Genomic DNA, 8,580 nt, shown 5'->3' on the forward strand with positions numbered 1-8,580 from the left:
AGCCCCGGATGGCCCCAGTCCCCAAGGTTTCAGTCTTCATGAAGTGGCCGGGTAACACACAGAGCCCCCAGAGGGAACTTCAGGGCCCACTTATGACTCCAGGACCCAGGACTCAGAGGGCTGGGGAGACTGCTCCGGGCTCCAGCAGCAGAGGGGGACACAGCACCAGGGCCAGGACCTCCCTGGAGAACATAAGGCGGGTGGGCAGGAGGCCCTCATCACGAAGGACCCCTGCCTGGGACCCAAACGGCTGACCCAGACTGTCCCACTGTGTGGAGGCTGGAAGTCAAGATCAAGGTGTCTGCAGGGCTGGCACCTCCCAGAGGCTGTGGGAGAAAATCTGCTCCCGGCCTCCTTCCTGTGCTTCCGGCCATGCTTGAAGGATGCCCTGGCTGCCGCTGAGCCAGCCCAACCCCAGCCTCTGCCTTCACACGGCCGCCTTTGCTCTGAGTCTCCTTTTCTGTCTCACAGAACCCCCATCGCTGGGTCACCAGGAAGATCTCATGTTGAGATCCTCACCTTATAACATCTGCAAAAGCCCTTATTCCAAATAACTTCACGTTCTGAGGTTCGGGTAGACATGCTGTATGAGTCCATTCTCACGCTGCTAATAAAGACATACCCGAGACTGGGTAATTTACAAAGGAAAGAGGTTTAATTGTCTCACAGTTCTGCATGGCTGGGGAGGCCTCAGGAAACTTACAATCATGGTGGAAGGGGAAGCAAACACGTCCTCCTTCACGGGGCGGCAGGAAGCAGAAGTGCCCAACGAAGGGGGAAAGCCCCTTAGAAAACCATCAGATCTCGTGAGAACTCACTCTCCATCAGGAGAACAGCAGCATGGAGGTAACTGCCCCCATGATTCAATTACCTCCCACCCAGTCCCTCCCACGACACATGGGAATTATGGGAACTATAAGATGAGATTTGGGTGAGGACACAGGCATATCATATCACATGCCTTTTAGGGGGACACCCTTCAACCCACTGCAGGTCCCACAGGGGTGGCAGCTGGGAGGGATGCAGTGCTGGGCTTCAGAGGCAGGCTGGCTGCGTGTCCCCCAACACCTGCATAGCACCCGGTCCTGTCCCCTCCCTGCCCTTGACCTTCCCAGCCCTCGCTGGCAGCCCAGGCTGACAGTCCTCAGCTACCCTCTCTGTCTGACCCTGGGAGCCCAGTGCAGCAAAGGGGTGGCGGATAAATGGTCCAAGGTGGAGTCTGCATGGCTGCTACTGCCAGACCACAGGGGCACAGGAGGACGCCTGGGGTGGAGAGGGCATGGCTGGCAGGGCTCCCTACTGCTGCTGCTGCTTACGTCTGACCCTGGATGCTTTCGGAAATGAACATTCTGATCCGGAACTGGAGGGCTGAGTTTGGTGCCCAGCTACAGGAGGTGGCACTCGGGGCGAGATCAGATGCTCTGGACCCCGAGGCTCTGCTTGCCTCTGACTGAGGTCACTTGGCTTCAGGGCTGTGAAGCTGCAGGTCCCCATACCGACTGAGCTTTGGTTCCTAAGCTCACTTGTGTGAGGGCTTCCCACCCCTGCCCCGGAGAACCACCTGGGAGCTTTTAGAAGGAACGCAGACTAGCCTTCCCCTAGAAATTGCGACTGGATTTGAGGTAGGAGGCAGAAGTGGACTGCAGAGGCAGGGCTGGGATGCTGGACCAAACCAAGGAATGGTTAAAACAGCTTCGGAGCAGAGGCACCTCCCCGTAAGACATGCCCACCAGTGTGCCATGTCAGTTTACCGCTGCCATGGCAACACCCAGAGGCTACCACCCCTCTCCGTGGCGATGACCCAACAACCTAGAAGTTACCATCCTCATTCTAGAAATTTCTGCATACCGCCCCTTAATTTGCATTAATTTGGGCATAGGTATAACCATGACTGCAGAAGCGCCTCTGAGCTGCTTCTCTGGGCCCAGGGCCTATGTGGTAGCCCTGCTCTGCAAGGAGCAGTCCCTCTGCTGCGGCGGCACATGACACTTCAATCAAAGGTGCTGCCCAACACCACCAGCTTGCTCTTGGATTCATTGCTGCCCAACACCACCAGCTTGCCCTTGGATTCTTTGCTGTCTAACACCACCAGCTTGCTCTTAGATTCTTTCCTGGGTGAGACCAAGAACCCTCCCGGGCTCAGCCTCAATTCGGGGGCTTGCCTGCCCTGCATGGGTTGGGTCTGGGGCAGAACCTGGAAAGGAGGATGGAAGGGCCCCCTAGGACACAGGAGGAGGGATCTGAATGAGTGAATAGTCAGGAAGGGGCACGTGCCCGTCCACACAGAGGGAGACGGGTGTGTGTGCGGGTGCACGTGTCTGGTATCTGACACAAAACGGGCCATGGCCACCCAGCCAATCTGCATGCTGGACACACCCTGAAAAAGTTTAACACCCTGCTGAGAACTCCCAGCTGGGATCTTTTTGCCCTTCATGCAGGAAATCAAATTCACAGGGAGACAGCAAAGATACCAGGAGGAGGGGTGGAACCGGGAACTGCCTGATGGGAGGACACCTGGGCCCCTCAGCACCTCCCTCGGGGGCTGGAAACCAGGCCAGGGATGGCCCCTGAAGACTAGTCCATGCACACAGGGCCATGTTCAGGGTCGTACAGGAGAAGAGACAGCTGCCGGACGTGACAGTGATTTCAAATTCTCTGGAGCAGTGTTCAGTGGCAGCATAGTCCCAATCATGTTTATTCTTTGCTTCTCTAGGACACGCTCATGCATAGCCAAGGAGAAAATTTAAAATGTTTATGCATTATGCGGGACAGAGTGAAACAAGCCGAGGCGCTGTGGTTGCTGGGTGCAGGGACTCATATTAAGTGGGCTCCTTAAGGAATCTTCAAGAGGGAAAACCTCGCCTCCGGGACGTGGAGTGGGAAATGCAGAGGCAGCCTGGGCCCCGCTCACCAAGGCAGACAGGAAGATCTGAGCCCCGTCACCTGGAAAAGGAGGCAATTTGGATCTTTGGGGACACAGAGGACAGGTTAGGAGAGAGAGACAGGGACACGGCGGAGGCAGTGAGGTCCCCATCACTGTAAGGGTCCAAGGAAGTTTCAGAGCAGAACCCAGCTCTGTTGCTTACAGGGTGAGCATCTCCTTGCCTCAGTTTCCTCAGTGTAAAATGGGCACAAACCAAGAAATAGCTTCGCAGTCTCAAGGTAATAATCAGCTAATGAGCTGATGGTCACAGCAAGCCGCCCTCCTCAGTCTCCACTCCCCACCCCACCCTACCTGCCTCAGAGATGGAGACGAAGGAACCCCCGCCACCCAGATCAACAGAGATGATACAAGACGAAACATTCTTAAACGTGATTCCTAACCAACAGGGAGATGATGTGGTTCCTGGCCTTGTGAACGTTGTTTTATCCTGTGCAGGAGATAGAGACCATAACTGCTAGGGAGCACTGGTGGGAGCGTGACCTACCACCCTTCATTCCTGGAGGCTCTCTTCTTAGACAGATTCATGGACAGAGATGGTTATTCGGGAGGGCAGGGGACACAGGCTGGCGCTTGTCCCAGGGTTCAGATCCCAGCCCTGCAGCCCTAGAGCTAGAGAATTTCCCAGTGGGGAATGGTCTCCAGATAGAAAGGACTTGCAGAAAAAAAGATCAAACCACAGCCCAGAGTGGACCCACAGGTAAAGAAATCCCAGAAACTTCAAGAGATAGAAAAACACATCACAAGAAAAAGGATTCCTGGACTAGGAATGGAAACTCTGGATGCTAGAAAATGATGTCTTACAAATTCAGAGGGAAAGGAGCTTTCACTTGGATACAGGACCAACCAAGCTGTCAAACACACGTGAGCTGAATGGAGACACTTGGGTCATGCTGGCTCTCAGACACTGCATTCCATGCAGGCTTTCTCAGGAAGCTCCTACAGGATGTGCTTCAGCAAAACAAGGGAGTAAACAACAGCAGAGGAACACATGTACTCCAGAAAACAGGGGATTCATCTCTGAAGAAGGGAGGAGAAGGGAAGCTCTGAGCAAAAGACAGGCAGCTCCTCCAGGGAGCAACTTCCAGAAAAAGGAGGAGGTATGTCTTTAGTTCTGGGTTCACTCTGGGCTGTGGCTTGGTCTTTCCCCACTCTTTTGGGGGCACCCTGAAGGCCTTTTCTCTCTGTGTCCTATTCTGGGAAGTTCTCATGTGATTTCTTTCATAATTTCCTTCTCCCTATTTCCTACCTTCTTTCAGGAACTTGAAAGTTGGGCTTCCTTAACTGATTCTCTTATTTCTTGGGGTTTGCTCCCATGCTGTTTATTTTTTCCTAAACTTTAGCCTCCGTCCCTTGCTTTGACTGGCTTGTCTTGGCTGTCATGTTGCTTCCTAACGGCTCCTCCTTGGTGTACCCAGGGCTCGCCTTGGAGACACAGGTCCTTCTTCAGTACTCAGAAGATGCTGATGACAGTGGGGTGGGGGGAAGTCTTCTGCTCCCTGAAGCGACCTTCTCCCTCCTGCTTCCTCTTCCTCCTTGCTCTGGCCTCCTCCTCGATGTGGACTTTCTTCCCTCTGGCCCAGGTGAGGAGACAAGACCTTGTCCATGAATCTGGAGAGTGCAGCAGAACGTGGGCCAGAGCCTCCTGATCAGACTTTAACGAAGCGGGTAACAGGTGACAAACCCAGAGACACCCCAGACTCCCACGCTGGAGCCTTGCAGCCTGCTCCCTGGCCCCCATGGATGGGACCCCAGCGAGAAGATGCCACCTTGCTCACCCTCTTACCCAGTGAGAAGATGCCACCCTGTTCATCCTCTTACCCAGAGAAGACGCCACCTTGCTCACCCTCTTGCCCAGAGAGAAGACGCCACCTTGCTCACCCTCTTACCCAGTGAGAAGACGCCATCTTGCTCACCCTCTTACCCAGCAAGAAGACGCCACCTTGCTCACCCTCTTACCCAGAGAGAAGACGCCACTTTGCTCACCCTCTTACCCAGCGAGAAGACGCCACCTTGCTCATCCTCTTACCCAGAGAGAAGACGCCACCTTGCTCACCCTCTTACCCAGTGAGAAGATGCCACCTTGCTCACCCTCTTACCCAGTGAGAAGATGCCACGTTGCTCACCCTCTTACCCAGCGAGAAGACGACACCTTGCTCACCCTCTTACCCAGCAAGAAGATGCCACCTTGCTCACCCTCTTACCCAGTGAGAAGATGCCACCTTGCTCACCCTCTTACCCCGAGAGAAGATGCCACCTTGCTCACCCTCTTACCCAGCGAGAAGATGCCACCTTGCTCACCCTCCTATAGCTCATGGGCAGCTTTCTTTGGTAAATCACAAGTTGAGCATCCACCTTCCAAGACTCTCTGCCCGAGCAGCAGGACCCCTATAAAGCCATGGGAGAGAAAGCAGGCCCTTTCTGGCATCCATCCTGCCAGTTCTCGCTTCTTCCTTAAGCAATGACTGCCCCAGTCAGGAAAAAGCAGACTTGCAGACAGCAAGAGGCCATGTCTCGCCCTGCCATTGGCTGCTGGGGCACAGCTGGATCCAGAGTGCAGTGGTCACCGTGCCTTGTCTCTCATGTGTTATGTTACACACGTGTCCTCCTGCGGAGTGTGGAGTGGCTGCCGGCCACTCACCTCCTTCAACTGGGAGCCCCGGTGGGAGAGACAGCCTCCCCTCAAGTCTCCAGCAGAAAGTCCCACAGGAGACTCTGATGGGCTTGCTTGGGTGACAGGGACACCTGGTGAAGGGAATGTCTCACTGGTGACATCAGGTGCCCCATCCAGGTTCTCGGGGTCATCGCAGAGAGTTTCCATGGGAGACTATTTACAGCGGTAGGGCTGGGTAGGGAGGCTCAGTAAGAGATGCTGAAGTGTCCTGAGGCTAGCAGCAGCTGGGAGACACCTGCTGAGGGGCTGGGGCTGGGAGAGCCTACCGAAGCCTAGAGATGGTGGCCGCATAGAGAGGGCTTTCTGATGGGAGCTGTGGCCTCCACAGAGGGACACAGCTGAGCGTGTCAGAGAGGGAACTGGGGGCAAATACCCACCCCCACTTTCCTTTCACCCTCATCTCCTGTAGGTGCCTCCTATGGGCAGAATCCACCAAGGAATTAGCTCACTGACACATGCCGGGAAGGCCACCTTCCAAGACCCAGGGTTGGGGAGAGTAGGTCTTGAGCACCAGTTGGACATGACCCCACCCAGGGGTGGGGATGGCTACTGTAACTGTGGTGGTGGGAACCAAGGGGGGGTGTGGTGAGAGCAGCAGTGGGTGGTGGTAACCATGGTGATGGCGGTGACAGCAGTAGTGGAGTGATGGTAACAATGGTGATGAAGAGGTAACCAAAGTGATGGTAACCATGGTGATGGTGGTGCTGGTAGCCATGGTGAAGAGCTGACCATGGTGAAGGGGTAGTGGTAACCATGGTGATGGTGGTGTTGGTAGCCGTGGTGAAGAGGTAAGAGGTAACCGTGGTGAAGGGGTAGTGGTAACCACAGTGATGGTGGTGACAGCAGTGGTGGGGTGAAGGTAACCATGGTGATAAGATGGTAACCATGATGATGGGGTGATGGTAACCAGAGTGATGAGGTGATGGTAACCATGGTGATGGTGGTGACAGCAGTTGTGGGATGGTGGTAACTATGGTGATGACGTGGTAACCATGGCGACAGTGGGGGAGCTAACCATCGCAGCGGTGGTGACAGCAATGAGAGTGACGCTCCCAGAGTTGATTGTAGGCATGAAGGCAGTCAAGGTGACATTGATGATCTTTATTGTGCTAGTGACACTGTTTCCTTCCATCCTCAAAACACAGCCCAAAGCAGTGAGCCCCCTCCTGTCCTCCCTTAGGGTCTCAGCCTGCCTGCTGAAGGTCCACTCCACGCCAAGCTGCACAATGTACCCAGAGGAGTCTTTGGTTTGGGCGAATGCTTCCTGGGTGTGCAGCACCCACACAGACCCACACCCTCACCCTCCTGCCACAGGCATCCACCAACTTCCTCAGCCCCACCGTCTCAGGCAGGGGGGCGAGGAGGAGGTGCTGGCGTGGAAGCCAGCAGGGAGGCCAGCAGAGAGAGCTGCCTAGCTGCCGCACTAATCAGGCCCTGCCCCCTCCCCCGGGAGAACCCCCTTCCCACTGGCTCCTCTGAGCTGTAATCTGGTGGCTGGCTAATTAGAGCCAATTTGCTCTGAATCCAAACAGTGTTTACTGTCACGCAGCAGGCAGCCAGGGGACAGTGGGAATCCCACCACAAACTCCCGAGGATGAGCCAGGAGGGGCGTGCCTCGGCACAGAGACACCTCAGGCTTGAGTGCTCATCTCCCTGACCCGTCTGGCTGCTCAGTCCCGTGTGTGAGTCGGATCCGTGCTGTGGGGCAGCGGGGAAGGCACGAGCTCAAGGGTTGGGTATGCAGGATGGAGTCCCTGGGCCCCAGGGACCAGGGCTGCCCCTAGGAAAGCTGCTTCACCTCCAGAGCTCCAGTGTCCCCTGGGCACCAGGGCTGCCCCTCCCAGGGCTGTGGACATCGACAAGATGATATTGTCCCTGAGGGGCCCTGTGGAGGCTGTGGCCAGGGAAGGGGGTGGGAGGTCACCTCATCTGCCCTTTCTTTGCCTGAACCAGCAGCATTCACATGCCCGGCAAGGGTCACCATGCACCCATTGTCCCCTCGCCCTGGGCACATTCACCAGCACTGACCCTGGGCCTACCCCAGGCCATGGCTGAGGATACCAAAAGATTTCGGCCAGGCCCCGGGCTCGAGGCCCTGTGTGACGAGCTCTGGGCCAGTTTCTGACCATCAGGCGGGAGCAGGAGATTTTCTGAGCGCTCATGTGAGCCCTGTCATCGCCTGCACCTGGAAGTAAGTGGCACATTATGAAAGCTGCTCCCTGGGACTTGCGCCCGCGTGGGGAGATGAGCTCTGTCGTGTGCTAAAGGATGAAGCCAGACGCAAGCATCTACTCAGGGGCTGTGGAGCTCAGAAAGTCATGGCGTCATCAGAAGAGGCTGCCTGGGAGAGGTGGTGACGCAGGCTGGTCCCAAACAGAGATCTGATCTAGAGAGGTGGGAAAGGTGTGGCCGATGGGGGAGTGCATGGCTCTGACAGAGATCGGAGTTTACAGCCAGGCTCTAATGCTGCAGGATTTGGGGAGAGTCCCCAGGGTCCCCCCAGCCTCAGTGGACTTGTCTGTGAAGTGGAAATATCCGTATTTAAGCCTAGGACCCTGAGTCCTTCATAGCACCGGAACTCCCGAAGGAGACCCGAGCTCCCCATCACACTGGGGGCCCCGGGGCTGGGGGATTCACTGGGCATCCCAAAAGTCTCCACACCTCGGGTCCCATGGGAGCTTTGCCTCCACCCCTGCCTGGGCCCCAGCCCATCCCAGGAAGCCCTCCAGCCTCCAGAGAGCCTGAGGTCTGATAGGCAATCTCAGGATCATAAACCAATCAGCACCATTTATTGATCTTTTTGTCTCATCCACCAGCCACTGCAGGAATTCCTCCCCTTGGACCCAACGTGGGGCCACCCAACATACTTGCTGGACTCTGACAAGAGTAGCTCCCTTCCTGGGGCAGCTGTTCTGCCCTGGAGCAGTTTTTGACTGCTGGGAAGCTTTTTCCTGGATTACACTCC

Source organism: Homo sapiens, chromosome 8, assembly GCF_000001405.40.
Source record: "Homo sapiens chromosome 8, GRCh38.p14 Primary Assembly".
Taxonomy (NCBI): Eukaryota; Metazoa; Chordata; class Mammalia; order Primates; family Hominidae; genus Homo; species Homo sapiens.